The following is an 18,759-nucleotide window of genomic DNA, read 5'->3' on the forward strand; positions in this document are numbered from 1 at the left end:
CACAGCCGTCCTTTGAAAGCACTCATCGGGACTTCTGTGCCATAACACTCTGCCCTGAGTGACCACTGAAGTGTTTATTTTACTCTGGATCCTCGAATGGGTGACTGAATTCATTTGCAAACAGGGAAAATTCAGCCGTGTCAGCTTTGATTGCTCTCAAGGTCAGAGGTGTTGTTTTCTTTCTTGATGTGTAAGGAATGTGTTTTTTTCTTCTTATGGTAACTGTAAGACCGGACTGAGCATAAAGAGAGAAGACATTTGAAGTACATGTTGCAAGCAGAGCCAGAGGGATTAGGGGCAAAGGAAATGGAAGGCAGAGACTGAGAAGAGACAGTGGAAGTACTAAGGTTACTTCCCAGCCCAGCTGAGCGTTTTATGATGGATGTGTCAGGGCTCCAAGCGGTGGCCTTGGCTCCACTGCCCTGAGATTGCTCTGCTGCGTGTCAGAGGACATCATCAGTGTTTGCAAAATCCAATTAAAGCAGCATTAGTGCACACGGGCACACTGAGCCGCCCAGCACGTTTCATGCCCAGTCCCTCTGGCAGTTCTGCAAGCCCAGCCGCAGTTTTAGAAAAGAGTTATTTGGGTAAGCCTTTGGAACAGAATTTTTTCCTCCAATTTAAATCATTTTTCATTTTATTGAAAACTTCCAGAGCTCCATTTGGTTCTAATATCAAAGCAGGGAAAAGAAACTTTTCCTTCCTTTTTGTGACATGCTTATAAAAATTATTTTTGTCACTCTTAGGTGAATTATTAGCAAGTATGACGTAATGCTGCTGAGATGAAGCACAAGGACAGGGGAGATGCAAGGCAGGAAGGCTGGGCTCCCACCCCTCGCTCCTTACATGTAGAATGTGGAACTGAATCGCAGCTGTTACTGTTACGTAATCCAGGGATACTAGGAAGTAGAAGTGGCCCAAACTATTTTATAACAATAGTAGGAAAAAACATTTTCCTCAATTTGTAAAGATTTCTGATTTTGATTATGTATCAGTCCATAATCTGCATGTACATCCACAGGGTGAAATTGTTTTGCATAATCTGTTTTCGGCCACGGCAGAGTTGCCTGTACTGGAGGAACTCTCCTGCTAATAACGATGATAGCTTCTGTATTAGATATTAAAACAACAGTTTGAAGGCACTAGAGATCACCCAGAAGCTGACAGAAACTGGAAGGGCAAAACCCTTGCAAGGCGGGAGGCAAAGTGAACAAGCTTAGTGTAGCCACATGAGTCTATTTGCTGAGGGCGCTTCCCAGTTCACGCAGGGTGTGTGAAGATAGAGTTCAAATGAGAAGTGCCAATGTTCTGAGCGCGGAGTCTGCTAGTGCCCCGGAGTTCACGTGCTGGAAGCTGAGTTGCTCTTGTAACCGTGTTGGGGCCTTTCTGAGATTAGGCCTGAGGCTTTGCCCCTGTGGATGGAATATGCTTTTGTGTCGGGAGTGGATTCGTTGTCGAGGGAGGTGGCTCCTGATAAGTTCATTCCCATTCCTCTCTCTCTCTCTTTATTTTTTTTTTGAGACGGAGTTTTGCAATTGTTGCCCAGGCTGGAGTAGTGCAGTAGTGCAATCTCAGCTCACTGCAACCTCTGCCTCCCAGGTTCAAGCGATTCTTCTGCCTCAGCCTCCTGAGTAGCTAGGACTACAGGCATGTGTCAACACGCCTGGGTAATTTTTGTATTTTTAGTAGAGACAGGGTTTTGCCATGTTGGCCAGACTTGTCTTGAACTCCTGACCTCAGGTGATCTGCCTGCCTCGACCTCCCAAAGTGCTGGGATTAGAGGCGTGAGCAACCGCACCCAGCCTCTCTCTGTCTCTTGCACCCACTTCCACCAGGGGAAGGCCCTCACCAGATGCTGGCACCATGCTCTTGGACTTCCCAGCCTCCAGAAACATGAGCCAAAAAAACTTCTATTCCTTATGTATTACCCAGTCTGTGGAATTGTGGCAGGACAGTCCACAGCTCTCATTCTATTCTCAGAGGGGTGACAGGTTCCAAAGGGGTTCATGTCCACTCATGTAGAAGCCAGAGGAAGACAGATCACACAGCCACAGCGTCAGAGTTAGACCAAGAAAGGGGTGTTTAGAGACTTCCAAGCAATCATGAAACATTCCATTTCTATGTAAGCCGTTTGACTGGTATGAAGTATGCACTTGCTGAGAATCAAACACTGAGAATATCAGGCATTCTACATTGAGATCTGATATTGACAAGTAAATGACATAAGGCAGAGAAAAGTAGTTAGAAAATAAAGAAGATGCAGCCCCAGGTAGCCGCATTCTTTCCCCTCTCCAAGGCCACACATGCTGCCCAGCAGGTCTTGGCATTACAGAGAATGCTGGCAGTTCTGTCTGTTGTTTGTTTGGAGGGCTCGCTGCTGAGCCACATCGAGTTTTCTGGAGACGCATCAGCTAAGCTACTGAAACCATGCTCAGTTCCTCCCCGTGCAGTAGGCGTTACCACTGTGATTCTGTGGGTGGGACAAAGAGGCAAGGAGGCTAATGGGAGAAGTCGAGGGGCAAGCACCCACTCAGTGCCCACTCAGCTGCTGACCCTGTGCTGCGGGCTGCCTTTCTTGCAGAGAGTAAAGGAGCTCTGGTCTGGTGATGGAGGGGGATGTGCTATGAGAGTCCCACCTGCCAAAGCCCTGATGGAAATGGGCCCAGACTGCTGGAGAGTGCAGCAGGGACAACTCACCGGGGCAGGGGGAGCTCGCAGGGTGGCTGGGATAGCACAACCTCTTCCTCACACAGGGCATGGCACACCCCACTCCTATAAAACAACAACCATTCAGTTCTCACTTAAAAATCCGAACGTGATCCGCTTTTGGTGAACTTTTTTTTTTTGAGACGGAGTCTTGCTCTGTCACCCAGGCTGGAGTGCAGTGGCATGATCTTAGCTCACTGCAAGCTCTGCCTCCCGGGGTCACACCATTCTCCTGCCTCAGCCTCCCAAGTAGCTGGGACTACAGGCACCCTCCACCACACCCGGCTGATTTTTTGTATTTTTAGTAGAGACGGGGTTTCACCATGTTAGCCAGGATGGTCTCGATCTCCTGACCTCGTGGTCTCCCTGCCTCGGCCTCCCAAAGTGCTGGGATTACAGGTGTGAGCCACTGCGCCTGGCCTGTTGAACTTTTAACATACTTCCCTGTGCTCTAGCCACAGCCACACTGGTTCCCGTTAGCTAAATTTTTAACCATACAGTATTGTCATTTGCATGCTGTAGTTAAGAGCTTCCAGAGGTTACATGCACTAGATCTTAACAGCTTAGCCCTCATGAATAACATGTTATCTTCCACCATCTCAGGGAAGCAGTGATACCGTGGAGTGAGAAAAGTGCATTCTCTCAGGATTTCTGCCGTGTTTTCATGCTGAGGTGTGACAGAGTATTTCCAGTCCCCTAACTCTGGTCCATGACCTTAAGTTAGGTGGGAATAACCTTAGGAAGTGCCCTTTCCCCATGTGGTCCTTTACAACCTTCAAAACTCCCAAGGATGGACCCAACTTGACAAACATCAACAGCTCCCTGTGTCCCAAAGGTGGACAGTCGGAGAACCTGGGGAGTGAGCCTGCTTCTGCACAGCTAATCAAACATCACACCTTTTGTGCGAGGTCTGGGAGAGCTGGTTTGGAATGGCAAACACTCGATTCAACCTCCAGACAGCACGGGGTAACCAGGAGGGGCAGTGGTCAAGGTCCCATGAGGAGTGACTCAGCAGGTGCTTTGTCTACATGGCTCGCTCCCACGGAAACCCAGGGCGGGTGGGAAGGGATTTTCCCCTTGAGGAGTGTTCCCTGGGGAGTTTGCCTCTTTCCCCCATTAACTATTTCTCCAGACAATGCTGAGCTTCTGAAACCGCAACTTCCCAGGGAGCCTTACCGTGGCAAATGCGTCTGAGTGTTTCTCAGAGAGGCCTGGGCACCCACGGCCTGTGTGCTCTCAGCTTCCTTCATTGTTCCGGGCCTCGGTTTCCTTATCTATAAATTGGGAATGTGAAAGGCTCTCTTGAAGCCTTGCTCTCGGGACTAGAAATAACTCACGTAAAGCAAGGGGCTGTGGCGTGCACACTGTCATCTGGAAAGCACTGCTCTGACCTGGGCTGCTTGTCTCAGAACACAGAAATGAGGCCAGGCCACTGGTCCGAGCTCCCTCGCCCATTAGGCCAGACTGTAATCGGTTCTGTGTTTACAGAAGTTCAACAAGATGTAGTTTACCTCAACCGTGAAACACCTGCTAATACAGACCTCAAGGGTGCTGTGAAGATTAAACAGCTTCACGCTCATCGAAAGCTTGGAGCTCCACAACATTCAACAAATGTCGGCTGTCACTGTTGCACAGACGCTCAAGCCTCCCACTCTGCCATTCAAGGGTCTGGGGACAGGCATGAGATGATAGTGTGACTGGGAAAGTAGCGGTGGGGGTGGAAGCCAGGGCAGGCTCAGGAGGCTCAAGACCTGGCACTGTTCAGTGGCTGGGATGGGGTCTGGCCTCTGCAGGCCCTGCCTGGCTCCTTGTGTGTCCACTAGTCACCACCACAGCAGATCAAACCAGCACACAGAAATGCCTGTGCTTCAGAGGAAGTCACTTACATAAAAATTTGATGTTTAAAAGGGAAATACATACAAGTTACTTTCATGATTTTATAGGTTCTCAGCAGTCAGAAAAAGTAGCACATCTATTAATGAGAAATAGTTTACAATACAGTTCTCAGATGATGTGCTTGTTTGAATTAATTCTCCTGACGGCATCCACCCGTGGTGTCCCGAGCACACGTCCTGATGCAGCAATAGTGACATGTTGTTTTATTTACTAATGTCCCCACGTGTTTAGTACAGGGTCTGCCGCACAGCTGGAGCTCAGTAAGCGTCTGTTGAATTCAGTTGCGATTCACTAAACACCCTGAGGTGTACTCCTAGAATTTCTTCTTCCAGTCACTGGGGCACAAGCCCTGCCTAGATTTTCATATACAAAATGTTAGGTTTGAAGAAATGGAAGAAATGCTGTTTTCTTAGGTGCAGTCAAGGAGCGACTTTCAAGGGAGCTCCACTGCGTGGCGAATCGTCTGAATGCACACAGGTCTCTTGGGGTGGACGTGACAGAAGCCAGGCAGTGTGAAGTGGGAAACACAATAGGAAGGCAAGAATTGTGGCCCGGCCTAGTACAAGGTAGGCCTGTCGCGTAATGTGCAGCCCGGCCTAGTAGAAGGTAGGCCTGTCACGTAATGTGTGGACCCAGCCTAGTAGAACGTAAGCCTGTCGTGCAACGTGTGGACCCGGCCTAGTAGAATGTAAGCCTCTCGCGCAACGTGTGGACCCGGCCTAGTAGAAGGTAGGCCTGTCACGTAATGTGTGGACCCAGCCTAGTAGAATGTAGGCCTGTCGTGCAACGTGTGGACCCGGCCTAGTAGAATGTAAGCCTGTCGTGCAACGTGTGGACCCGGCCTAGTAGAAGGTAGGCCTGTCACGTAATGTGTGGACCCAGCCTAGTAGAATGTAGGCCTGTCGTGCAACGTGTGGACCCGGCCTAGTAGAATGTAAGCCTGTCGCGTAACGTGTGGACCCGGCCTAGTAGAATGTAAGCCTGTCGTGCAACGTGTGGACCCGGCCTAGTAGAAGGTAGGCCTGTCGCGTAAGGTGCGGCCCGCCCTAGTAGAAGGTAGGTGCTGCGTAATGTGCGGCCCGGCTTAGTAGAATGTAGGCCTATCATGCAACGTGTGGACCCGGCCTAGTAGAATGTAAGCCTGTCACGTAACGTGTGGACCCGGCCTAGTAGAATGTAAGCCTGTCGTGCAACGTGTGGACCCGGCCTAGTAGAAGGTAGGCCTGCCGCGTAATGTGTGGCCCGGCTTAGTAGAATGTAGGCCTATCATGCAACGTGTGGACCCTGCCTAGTAGAATGTAGGCCTGCCGCGTAATGTGCGGTCCGGCCTAGTAGAAGGTAGGCCTGTCGTGTAATGTGTGGATCCAGCCTAGTAGAAGGTAGGCCTGTTGCGTAATGTGCGGCCCGGCCTAGTAGAAGGTAGGTGCCGCGTAATGTGTGGCCGGCCTAGTAGAAGGTAGGCCTGCCGTGTAATGTGTGGCCCGGCTTAGTAGAATGTAGGCCTATCATGCAACGTGTGGACCCTGCCTAGTAGAATGTAGGCCTGTCACGTGATGTGTGGCCCGGCCTAGTAGAAGGTAGGCCTGTCATGTAATGTGTGGCCTGGCCTAGTAGAAGGTAGGCCTGTCGTGTAATGTGTGGACCTGGCCTAGTAGAATGTAGGCCTGTCATGTAATGTGTGGACCCGGCCTAGTAGAAGGTAGGCCTGTCATGTAACGTGTGGACCCGGCCTAGTAGAAGGTAGGCCTGTTGTGCAACGTGTGGACCCAACCTAGTAGAAGGTAGGCCTGTCACGTAATGTGCAGCCCGGCCTAGTAGAAGGTAGGCCTGTTGTGTAATGTGTGGACCCGGCCTAGTAGAACATAGGCCTGTCATGTAATGTGTGGAACTCGCTTTCTTGTCTGCAAAATGAGACACTTGAGGAACAGATCTTTCACTTAGCAGAGAGGAATCAGTGGCATGAGTTTAAATCAGTGAGTCTACCATAAGGTATTTAAATAATGCTGAATTTATTTTATTTATTTATTTATTTATTTATTATTTTTACAGACAGGGTCTGGCTCTGTCGCCCAGGCTGGAATGCAGTGGTGTGATCACAGCTCACTGTGGCCTCTACTTCCTGGGCTCAAATGATCCTCCCACCTCAGCCTCCTGAGTAGCTGGGACTACAGGAACTTGTCACCATGCACAGCTAATTATTTTATCTTTTGTAGAGATGGGATCTCACTGTTGCCCTCTTGAACTCCTGGGCTGAAGAGATCCTCCCAGCTGGGCGCTGTGATGCGTGCCTGTATTCCCAGCTATTCGGGAGGCTGAGGCAGGAGAATCACTTGAACCTGGGAGGTCAAGGCTGCAGTGAGCCAAGATAGTGCCACTGCACTCCAGCCTGGGTCTGGGCTACAAAGCAAGATCCTATCTCAGAAAAAAAAAAAAAAGAGAGAGAGAGAGATCCTCCCGCTTCAGCCTCCCAAGGTGTTGGGATTATAGGCGTGAGCCAACGTGCTGGCCTAGAGTTCTTTTTCTTGTTATTATTCCCTAAACAATATAGTACAACTATTTATATATCATTTACATTGTATTAGGTATTATAAATCACCTAGAGATGACAAAGTACACAGGAGGATTGCATAGGTTATATGCAAATACTATGCCATTTTATACCAGGGACTTGAGCATCCACTGATTTGGGTGTCCACAGGGATTCCTGGAACCAATGCTCCACCCATACCAAGGGATGACTACATACAAAGACCCTGATGAAAGGCAAGGGTGGACTGAGGTCACTGGGTGTGGGGGTGGGTGAGGCAACTCTACCCACACTGCCACACTTTAAAAGTGAGCCCCCCGCCTAGGGTGTGCCAGATGAACTACCCTATCCCATAGGCTATTTCTATAGAGTTACAAACAGAATAATGGGGCTGAAGAATGAGGCCACACATTCAGGAGCCACCTCTAGGCTGGAAACAGTATTTCCACTATTCACTTTTCTTCATCAGTCTTGCCCCAGGTTTGACCATTTAGTCTTTTCCTTATCAACTTTTGTTTTATACAGCATGAATTTCTGCTCATTCCTTCATTTTATTTGTTCTTTTACTTTATTTTGCTGTTCTTAAATTTAAGATGGATGTTTACCTCGTTAACTTTCAGGTAGAATTTTGTACTCATGTACAGAGAAACGAGTTTCTCTTTGTAAGTCAATTTTCGCATTCTATATTTCAAGGTTACGTTATTGGTTTACATTAAAGTTATCTTTATGAATTAAACATTTATTGTACTTATTAACACATTTGGGTTTATAGCTACCATATTATTTGTGGTTTTTCCATTTTTTTGTTTCTTTTCACTTTTTTCTTGCCTTCATTTCAATTAGCTTTTGTTAACCATTTTAGATTTTTTTCTACTAATTTGGAAGTTATACATTCTGCTTGTGTAGTTATAATCATTAACCTAGGAATTATAACAGGGATACTTAATTTACCAAGTCTTAAGTTCATCAGTACTTTACCCTAGTTCTGAAAGTAGGACCTAGAACTCTTAACTCTATCCCTTTCTTGATTTATAGGCTTTATTAATTATGTGTTAAAATGTAATAAGATATTACTATTGTTTTTTATGCACTTTATTTGTTCCTCATTCTGATCACTTTGCTTCTATTGCAAGTATATTATTTAAACTTTCTTTTACAAAGGGTTGGCTTATGGTAAGATTTCTCAGTGTTCCTTTGTCTGTAAATGTTTTTCTCCTCATCCTTAAAGGATATTTTCTCTGGGCATCGAATTCTAGTTTGGCAGCATTGTTTGTTTCCCACCCCCCCTCCTTAATATTGAAGATATTCCACTGTCTCCTGTCTCTCAATGTTACTGTTGAGCAGTCAGCTGTCACACTCACTGTTGCTCTTTTGATGGCAATCTGGCTTTTCCTTTCAGTTGCTTTTAACAAATTGTTCTTGGCTTTGGTATTCTGCATTCTGTCTATGATTTCTTATTTATCATTCTGGTACTTTATCTTTCCTGGAAAAATCTTAGTCTTTATATCTTCAACCATTGCCTCCTTCCCTTGCTCCTTCTCCTGTCCTTCTGGAGTACTTATTGGACAAACATTTGCTCTCAATCCTACCGGTCTTCTCAATCTATTTCAATCTGCTTAAGTTCAGTGTTGTGTGTTTTCCATTTGCCCCTCCAGATTGTGTCTTCCTCTGCCCTGCTCTATGCCCCTGGAAGTTGACTTCTACAGACTGGATGTCCAGGCCCTCTTGCATTCTGGCTGTTGGGTTAGTCAAAGGGAGGCCCCAGCAGAATTATAAGGAGGAGAGACTGCTCTGGTTATTAATTTCTCTCACTCCCTTTCTGCAGGGCTGAGCCTTGGTGTCACTGTGTTCCTCTATGGCTGTGGCTCCCACCTAGGGCCCTTCTACATGGTTTTAGCATTTGCTAGGTTCTATCATTGCCTTAACCCTCAGTCCTATGAATTGTGATGGCTTCCCACAGTTGCCAGTTAACTGGGTCCTTTGTCATCCTTTGTTGGTTCTTTTAACCCAGCTAACACTTCTGTTAATAGTGTCTTCAGCCAGATGCGGTGGCTGATGCCTGTAATCCCAGCACTTTGGGAGGCTGAGGTGGGTGGATCACGAGGTCAGGAGATAGAGACCATCCTGGCTAACATGGTGAAACCCCGTCTCTACTAAACATACAAAAAATTAGCCAGGTGTGGTGGTGGGCACCCGTAGTCCCAGCTACTCGGGAGGCTGAGGCAGGAGAATGGTGTGAACCCAGGAGGCAGAGCTTGCAGTAAGCTGAGATCGCACCACTGTACTCCAGCCTGGGTGACAGAGCGAGACTCTGTCTTTACTTCCAAGACACAGTGGAGATATAGGCAGCATTGGGTAAACATTCCCATTCCAAAAGGGAGAAATCAGCCAAAAGAAAGGCACTACAGGCCCCAGGCAAACAAAACCTAGCAGGAGTCATTAAATCTTAAGGCTCCAAAATAACCTCCTTTGACTCCATGTCTCACATCCAGGGCACACGGCTGCAAGGGTGGTCTCCCAAGGCCTTGGGCAGCTCTGCCCCTGTGGCTTTGCAGGGTTCAGCCCCCTGGGCTGCTCTCACCAGTTGGAGTTGAATGCTTGTGGCTTTTCCAGGTGTAGGGTGCAAGCTGCTGGTGGATCTACCATTCTGGTTTCTGGAGGATGATGGTCCCCTTCTCATAGCTCCACTAGGCAGTGCCCCAGTGGGGACTCTGTGTGGGGGCTCCAACCTCACATTTCCCCTTGGCACTGCCATGGCAGAGGTTCTCTGTGAGGGCTCTCTCCCTGCAGCAGGCTTCTCTGTGCACTCAGAATTTCTCATACATCCTCTGAAATCTAGGTGGAGGCCACCAAGAGTTCTTCATCCTTGCATTCTGTGCACCTGCATGCTTAACACCATGCAGGAGCTGCCAACGGTTATGTTCTCCAAAGTGGCGGTCCAAGCTATAACTGGGCCCCTTTGAACCACGGCTGCAGCTAAGCAGCTGAAATGTGGGAAGCAGTGTCCCAAGGCTGTGCAGGGCAATGGATACCCTGGGCCTGACCCGTGAAACCATTCTGCCCTCCTAGGCCTCTGGGCCTATGATGGGAGGGGCTCCTGGGAAGATCTCTGAAATGCCTTCAAGCCTTTTTCCCCATTATTTTGGCTCGCTTTTAGTTATGCAAATATCCCTAGCAAGTGGTCATTCTGCAGCCTGCTTTAGTTCCTCTCCTTAAAAAGCTTTTTCTTTCTGTGCCACATGGCCAGGCTGCAGATTTTCCAAAGTTTTATACTCTGCTTCCTGTTTAAATGTAAGTTCCAACATTAGGTCATTTCTTTGCTCCCCCATCTGAGGTAAGCTGTTAGAATTAGCCAGGCTATCTCTTGAACACTTTGCTGCTTAGTAATTTCTTCTGTCAGATGCCCTAAAGCATCACTTTTTAGTTCAAACTTCCACAGATCCCCAGGGCACGACTAGAATGCAGCCAAGCTCTTTGCTAAGGCATAACAAGGGTGACTTTTGATCCAGTTCCCAATAATTTCCTCATTTCTATCTGAGACCTCAGCAGCCTGGACTTCACTGTCCATATCACTATCAGTATTTCGGTCACAACCACTGAACCAGTCTCTAAGATGTTCTAAGCTTTCCCTCATCATCCTGTCTTCCTCTGAGCCCTCCAAAGTCTTCCAACCTCTGCCTATTACCTAGTTCCAAAGTTAATTTTATGTTTTCAGGTATCTTTATAGCAATGCTCCACTCGTTGGTACCAATTTTCTGTGATCCAAACACCTTGCACGAGGCCCCACCTCCAGCACTGGGGATTACAATTCAATATGAGATTTGGGTGGGAAAAATATCCAAACTATATCACTAAGTAATATTTAGATAACTTTAAAGGGTGTTTAAAACATATTTTAGGTACTTTGTACTTTTTTTTTGTTTCGTTTTGTTTTTTGAGATGGAGTCTCACTCTGTCGCCCAGACTGGAGTGCAGTGGTACGATCTCGGCTCACCGCAACCTCTGCTACCCAGGTTCAAGTGATTCTCCTGCTCAGCTTCCAGAATAGCTGGGATTACAGGCGCCTGCCACTGTGCCCAGCTAATTTTTGTAGTTTTAGTAGATATGGGGTTTCATATCTTGGCCAGGCTGGTCTTGAACTCCTGACCTCATGATCCACCTGCCTCGGCCTCCCAAAGTGCTGGATTACAGGCATGAGCCACCGCACCCAGCCATGTACTGTTTTCAATGAGACTGTTCTTTATCCCTAGCTGACCATGTAAAAGAAATGGCACTTGTTTTAAAATTTGTTATTATGTGTGGAACAGATAATGTCTGAAATTGCCTGAATCTAGCAGCAGGCAGCAGGGTAAACATGCTTTTAGCATATATGTGCTAATCAAAGCTATTCTTTGATTAGCTACTTTTTTTTTTGATCTGCTACTTCTTCAACCTATAGCTTTTTTTTCTTTCTTTCTTTCTTTCTTTTTTTTTTTTTTTTTGAGATGGAATCTTACTATGTTGCCCAGGCTGGAGTGCAGTGGCACAATCTTGGCTCACTGCAACCTCCTGCCTCAAGCAATTTTCCTGCTTCAGCCTACAGGTGCGTGTAACTATGCCCAACTAGGTTTTGTATTTTTAGTAGAGATGGAGTTTTGCCATGTTGGCCAGGCTGGTCTCGAACTCCTGACCTCCAGTGATCTGCCACCTTGGCCTCCCAAAGTGCTGCGATTACAGGCGTGAGACACTGCGCCCAGCCTCAACCTATAACTTTTTATATTTTAAAAAATAATTTGGACTAGACCACATTTTCTCATGGCAGAGTGGGCCAGTCAAGTAAAAAGGGAAAAAAGAGCAAATTGTGATGAGTTGACAAGATGGAAAACACTATCTAGATAAAGCCACATATAGCAGGCAATAACATATTGCCTCAAAATATGAAATCATGAAGTTTTTACATATATACTTCTAAAATTTACTATTTAAAGTTATTAAAATTCTGTATGATTCAATTTTCTCCACCAATCACATGGCCTTCCTAGTACTTTCCCATTTTGAATGTGTTTCAACTTCTGTTTACGGAGTATTGGCATGGCAGTCTGCCACAGAAATTTTGAAAATGAGAATAGCTTAAAATAAAAAAGTGGTCTGCATTAATCCCAATGGAAAGTGAGCTATGAAGATGATCAGCTGAAACAGACTATAAGGCGAAAGGAAACAGGATAGGAGTTATTTGCTGGGTAGGGATCATTCACAAGAGTTCTTTCATGTTTTCTTAAGAGTTTGGAATTCCTACTTTGTCAGTCCCCAGGTATACTGATGCTTTAATGGAGTTTTTAAATGAATGAACATTTATGAAGGAAGACCTGCATTAGTCAATATTAGCCTGGGACAGAGGAACAGAAGAGGGGTTATTACCTTTCTCTTTATGTATTGGTCATAGGTTCGGATTTTCTAAACTTAAGTATTTTGACATTATTCGTTGTAGCATATTTGGATTAATTATCAGTTGAGCACAGATTTAAAGAGCATCTTCTTTAGATGCCAATGCAGTAGGCATCAGTACTGTTTACAGATAACTCTGTTATTCTCAACTCACTGTCCAGAAATAGGCCCATGGGAGCTGAGACGGAAACATTTAATTGTCAAATTCATTCCCCTTTCCTCAGCATAGCTATTGTCAACCTTTACTCCAGGAGTCTGCTCCCTCAATGACCATCCTGAACAGAGGCCCCTGCTGACCTATGGTGAGTATCTTAACCAGCTTGGGCTGCCATAACAAAATACCAGACTGAGTGGCTTAAACAACAGAAAATTTTCTTTTCACAGTTTTGGAGACTGGAAGGTCCAGATCAGGACACCAGCATAGTTGGGTTCTGGTGCAGCCTCTTCCTGGCTTGTGGAAAGCCGCCTTCTCTCTGTGCTCACATGGTCTCTCCTTGGTGCAAGCATGGGGTCGGGGAAGCCTGGGAGCAGCTCTCTGGTGTCTTTTCTCATAAGTGTGCTAATTCCATCAGGAGAGCTCCAGCCTCGTGACCTTTTCTGAACCGAATTACCTCCCCAAGGCTCCATCTCCAAACACCTTAACACTGGGAGACAGGGCTTTCACGTATGAATTTGGGGAGACTTAATTTGGTCCACAGCAGTGGGCGTGGAGCATCAGAGAGAAATAACTGATGCTGAGATTTGGAGACTATTTGTTATCACAGGATAATTTAGACTGTCCAGACACATACATTCTGATAGTGAATACTATTATTTTTATACTTCTATGCTTTTGTGAGGAAATAATATGTTTTTAATTAAAAATAATAGCAGGAAAGGCACTTAGCTTACTATTAGTCTAGAAGTTGGTGGCAGGGCTGGAATTGAAATTTTAAGCCTCCTCCCTCTGGAAAACGGAAATTGCTAAAGCATTATGGTTTCCTTGTGCAGACCTTCAAAATCAATTATTAAACTTGTGACAATGACGTCACATCATCAAAGTGAATTTTTTTCACTGTTTTTAACCTGAGGGTCAGACATCACAACCACCTGCTTAACCAGCTTCCAGAAACACTAAGGATTCAGATGTCTGTTGCAACATGAAACTTGTCTTTGCTTATCTCGAGTATCTTTTTGGGTACAGCACAGAATGCTAATCTTAAGAAATTCTGCCTGCAGATATTTAGAATCATTTGGAAATTGATCATACAAGCATAAGTACATGCATTCCAAATACGTGTATGATTATTATCACAAATCTTCTCTAGGAAAAGAGATCGCAAGATTTCCATTAAACCTAAAATTGTTCCTTTATGGAACAGCAGAATGCAAAGAATGTTTTTAACAGTGTGTCAATAGAATGACTCGTACTCAACCCATAGAAACACCCCTTATCAGCAGCTCTGACGTGAGCAAGGGCAGAAGTTCATTAGCACAGGTGCCTGTCATGATCCACGCACAGGAACGGAATTCTCACAGAAGAAACACAACCTGTCTGCATATGCAAACAGTGCTTTAGTGAAACACAGGTGCTGGGGGATTATTGACAGCATATGACCCCAAGTGCAATCCATCATGTACCTCCATTTAAATACCAAACAATTCATGACCAGCCTGGACAACATGGCGAAATCTCCCCTCTACTAAAAAATACAAAAAGTAGCCAGGTGTGGTGGCATGTACCTGTAGTCCCAGCTACTCGGGAGGCTGAGGCACTTAAATCTGAGAATTGCTTAAACCTGGGAGGTGGAGGTTGCAGTGAGCCAAGATCACACCATTGCACTCCAGCCTAGGCGACAGAGTGAGACCCTGTCTCATAAATAAATAAACAAACAAACAAATACCAAACAAGGTAATAACTCTACAGAGGTCAAGAACAAAGCCACTCTCGGCTGGCAGTGCAAAAGGAGAGTGGCTTTGGAGTTCCATGCGCCCTGAACGCACCTCATTGTGTCTCTCCAGCTGTGTGACGGTGAGCAAGCACTCAACCACCTCAAAGCCAGCACTCTTGTCTGTGAAACAGAGACAATCACACCCACCTCACTATGCTGTCCCGAGAAGAAAGCAAGTGACCTGGCACATGGTGGAGGCTCCCTGCATTGCAGTTGTTAAGGTTCAACGATAATTTAATGAATAGAACAAAAGTTTAGCAAATATTATTGTAACTAAGCAGCTAATAAGAACATAGATAATACATAATGCATAATTAATAATACACAATCTCTTTGCTCACTTATTAATGCCTGTAGAATAGGGTTAGTGAAAAGCTAAAATAATTCACATAAAGTATTTTTAACATGCCTGGTAGATAGTAAGTGAGCAAAGAGTGAAGAAACAGAGGCTTGGGGAAGCTGAGACATTTTCCCAGGATCACAGCGGGTGGAGCTGTATCTCAGAAATGAAGCTCACAGTCTTAACTCACTGTGTAATTCTGCAGAGAATGTCAGGCTGCACCTTTGGCCCGGAGGGTGGCTCTCATGCCATTGCTGCCTTCCACCTAAGGAGGTGTTTCCTTAGACCTCCCTGTTGACAGCTTTCCTCTTTATGGCACAGTGTGGAGTTCTGACCCACTTCAGGGTTGTGCAGAGGGGGTCTGACAGTACTGTAATTCAGTAGGACTACTTGAGTATTGCAGAAGCTTGATTCCAACCGCTACAGCCCCTACATCAGGAACTTACTCAAGCCAACATTCAATCAACGGAGTTCCACAGTCACTGTGAATGCTCTTGGCAGTGCTGCCTGAGGTGAGGGATGGCAAAAAAGTAAGACACAGTTCCTGTCCACGAAGAGCTGGCTACTTCTTTTGGAAACAAGATGTACACAAGGAAGCATCTAGGTACAAAGCAGCATGTGACTCGTTCTGAATGAGTTCCTGTGGGGATCCAGGGAAGTGGCCGACGGGCCCAATGGAGCACTCATAGGACCCTCTAAGACCGGATGCCTACTGATGGCTAATCCCCATGTAAAGGCTCCTTTCAGGCAGGAAGTTCAGTTCTGCAAAATGTACCTTTCATCCATCAGAATTACAGCAACGAGAAGGTAAAACAGAAAAGACCAAACCCACAAAATAAAAAGGTCTGAAAAACAAAGCTTTTTACTGAGAAGTGCCTCGCAGTCAGAAGCTTTGCAGAGTACCCTTGAGAGCATCCTTTACTACAGCTGAGAAGTACCTTTCTGTCACAAGGTACACACTCAGAGGCGTCCTGGCAGCTGGAACCTGCTAATGCAGTCAGGAACTGGCAATGTGCCTCGTACTGCAGGCAGCATTTGCGACACTCCTCAGAAAAGGCCTTTAGAGTTTGGCTTCCCCAGAGAAGCCCAGAAGTGTATGATAAAGAAGCTTGCTCCTAGTGGTGTAGAATACATACTTGCCCCCAAGAAGCTATACTCTGCCACAAAATCACAAGAACAGGCAAGGATGTTGATTCTCATCAACACGCACATGGTGTAAGATGCTTGGTACCTTATCATTGTTATAGCTCTGGGCCCATGATGAGTCATTATGGTTGTGCATTCACAGACATGCCTTTGTAGCTGAACAAGTTAAAAGCAGGTGGCTCATGCCTGTAATCTCTGCACTTTGGGAGGCCAAGGTGGGTGGATCACTTGAGGTCAGGGTTTGAGACCAGCCTGGCTAATATGGTAAAACCCTGTCTCTACTAAAAATACAAAATATTAGCCGGGAGTGGTGGCAGGTGCCTGTAATCCCAGCTACTTGGGAGGCTGAGGCAGGAGAATGGCTTGAACCCTGGAGGCGGAGGTTGCAGTGAGCTGAGATGGCGCCACTGCGCTCCAGCCTGCGCGACAGAGTGAGATTCCGTCTCAAAAAAAAAAAAAAAATTAAAGAAAGGATGTTTGCCCATCTGAAGCAAAGTATTGACTGGACTTATCTAAATACCGGATTACAAGAAAAAGAGGAACTGGCTATATCAGAGTGAGAGAAAGTGGGAGAGGTTGAGGAAACATACAAGAACCTAAAAGAAAGGGCAATAAGTATGAGCATAGCTTTGCTAATCTCGGAAATGGTGGCCAGAACTGTCCTGTGGTTTAGCAAATGATCATAGCCAGCAAATCCTAATTACCCTAGAAGCTTCCTTTAGAAGTGCCACAAAGATGTAGGAGGTATGCTTATCCGCCTTGTGACACAAAAATGGAAGCATAGTTAATAGATGAGAAAAGCATGACCCAGAATGATTTTCAATATTGGAATGCTGGGAATTTATGAGAGGTATTTTCGCGTAAGAATAATAGGACTTGTTTAAAAGGATTGGAGAGTGGGGGGCATCCCAGATGCGTGAGAAGCAGTATAGCTAATGGTTAGAAGCAGGTTTGCTGGAGCCAGGCTGCCTGGGTTCAAAGCCCACCTCTGCTGCCTGTTAGCTTGTCAGCTGCACAACCACGGGGTGCTTTCGAGCCTTGTGTGCCTTTGTTTCCCCATGCACTTCATGAGGCTGTTGCAGAAATTAAACGAGTTAATATATAGTCAGCAGCTCTGAACACTGCTTGACTGAGTCAGCCCTACCTAACGTTTAATTTAAGGGATGTGGCCCTGGGTTCCCAAAGGGAGCGGCCACTCTATTCACAAACATAAAAGCAGTAAAGGCTCCATCCTCATCAACCTTCTCCTCAGTTGGACCCCACAGGACTGTCTCTCGCAACTGTTCCCTGGGCTCTCCTAAGGCACTGCGCGGAACCAGCTGCACCTCTTTTGCCTTAGATCAGGCTTTCCCTTCTCCGCCCGTTTTGGGATTTAACAAGCACGAGAAAGCAGGGCTGCAGGGAAGCCGCGAGGGCCTCCTCACCACGGCCCGGGATCAAGTCCCACGCGCGAGGCCGGGGTAGGGGCGTCATCTGCTCCACACCCAGAGGCTGGGCACGCCCCGCACGCGCGGCTTCCTCCTCCTTTGCGGGGCTCGCCGCGACCCAGGACCCCCAGACTCCCGGATCCCCTAGACCCTCTGGACTCCTAAGCCCCGCAACTCCCAAATCCCAAGACCCCGGACCCTCCAACCCTGGCCCAGGGCGCGTGGCTGGGGGCCTGAACCCGCTCCAGAAACCCGCAGGGCAGTCTGTCGGAAACCCCCGCTTTACTCAGCAGGAATTTAGTCTCCGCGCTCCCCCTAAAACCCGGGCGTCCTCTCCTCTGTACCCTCGCTCCTGAGGCCCTCACACGCCCTCCGTGGCTGACCTCCAAGCCGGGCGGGTGCGCTGTGCGACGCGGAAAGCGCCGTAGAGCACGCAGAACACGATTGGCTGAGCTCCCGGAAGTGACGTACCTCAACCGCCCGACAGTGGAAGTCCCACCTGCGCCCGACGGCGGAAGTTCCGGGAGTGCCAAGTACCCGCGTGCATACGGCTGCCGGCATGGCACATTACAACTTCAAGAAAATTACGGTGGTGCCGTCCGCCAAGGTAGGCGGCCCCGGGAGGGCCACTGCAACTTTCGCGTTCTCCTCAGCTGGGTCCCCGGGGAGGGTCCGGGCCTGTAGCCGTGGGAGAGCGGTCGCCTTCCGCTCGCCCATCCCCCGCTCCTGGGCCTGACCGTCTGGCCGCGTACTCGGGATCATTTCCCCTCCCCCAGCAGAATCCGGGGTCCACCAGAGATCGGATCCCCCAGAGACCGGGGTCCACCTAAGACCGTGGTCCACCCAAAGACTGAGGGCCCCCAGAGATGGGGGTACACCCAGAGTTGGGTTCCCTGGAGGGGCCCCGGGTGACGATGTGGGCGAGTGGAGGGGGACCCCGACATGTGAGGGAGGAAGCGTTCCGTGGTCCGTGATGAGCCTTCGGATTCTGGGTTTGGCGTAGCCCCCTCCCCTCTCAGGAATCCTGGGTTCGTTGTTCTCGTGATTTAACGTTTCATAATTTTTAAGTCATTCTCTTTCACTGTTAGATTTGGGAATACCTGTTCCTTTTCAGACCATAGTAGGCCCAGACTAAATTTTTACAGCGTTGGTTGGTGTGGCAAGAATGAGTCAACAAGTGTTGAGTATTAGGACTTTTTTTTTTTTTTTTTTTTTTTGAGACATAGTTTTTCGCTCTTGTTTCCCAGGCTGGAGCGCAGTCTCGGCTCACTGCAACCTCCACCTCCCGCGTTCAAGCGATTCTCCTGCTTCAGCCTCCCGAGTAACAGGGATTACAGTCGTGCACCACCACACCCAGCTAAT

At 47.3% G+C, this 18,759-nt stretch overlaps 2 protein-coding genes across 5 annotated transcripts in view, besides 1 other annotated feature; one reads left to right on the top strand and one right to left on the bottom strand.

Moving 5' to 3' along the window:
- The window catches only part of LARP4B (La ribonucleoprotein 4B), a 181,428-nt gene extending 163,610 nt beyond the window's left edge, over window positions 1-17,818 (bottom strand). For 2 of the 3 annotated variants that reach the window (XM_047424897.1, XM_047424894.1), the window contains exon 1: window positions 17,781-17,818. The gene's annotated coding sequence lies outside the window, so the exon portion shown is untranslated. Of the gene's footprint in view, window positions 1-15,014 lie in introns of all 3 variants that reach the window. The other variant, XM_047424893.1, reaches the window with a different exon arrangement.
- Window positions 3,526-3,820: an enhancer, noted in NCBI's record as "tiled region #2332; HepG2 Activating DNase matched - State 5:Enh, and K562 Activating non-DNase unmatched - State 22:ReprW". NCBI's record gives its function as "activates a minimal TATA promoter and a strong SV40 promoter by Sharpr-MPRA in HepG2 cells, with weaker activation in K562 cells {active_cell/tissue: HepG2 | K562}" and the evidence as "EXISTENCE:reporter gene assay evidence [ECO:0000049][PMID:27701403]".
- A 92-nt stretch (window positions 17,819-17,910) lies between the features above and the next one.
- The window catches only part of GTPBP4 (GTP binding protein 4), a 31,499-nt gene continuing 30,650 nt past the window's right edge, over window positions 17,911-18,759 (top strand). Inside the window, exon 1 of one of the 2 annotated variants that reach the window (XM_047424932.1) lies at window positions 17,911-18,425. Coding sequence is in view for 1 of the 2 variants with exons in the window: in NM_012341.3 (NP_036473.2) it covers window positions 17,957-18,004 (48 nt within the window). In the remaining variant the exon portion in view is untranslated. The remainder of the gene's footprint in view (window positions 18,426-18,759) is intronic. The other variant, NM_012341.3, reaches the window with a different exon arrangement.

The sequence above is a fragment of the Homo sapiens genome, chromosome 10, assembly GCF_000001405.40.
Source record: "Homo sapiens chromosome 10, GRCh38.p14 Primary Assembly".
In the NCBI taxonomy this organism is placed as follows: domain Eukaryota; kingdom Metazoa; phylum Chordata; class Mammalia; order Primates; family Hominidae; genus Homo; species Homo sapiens.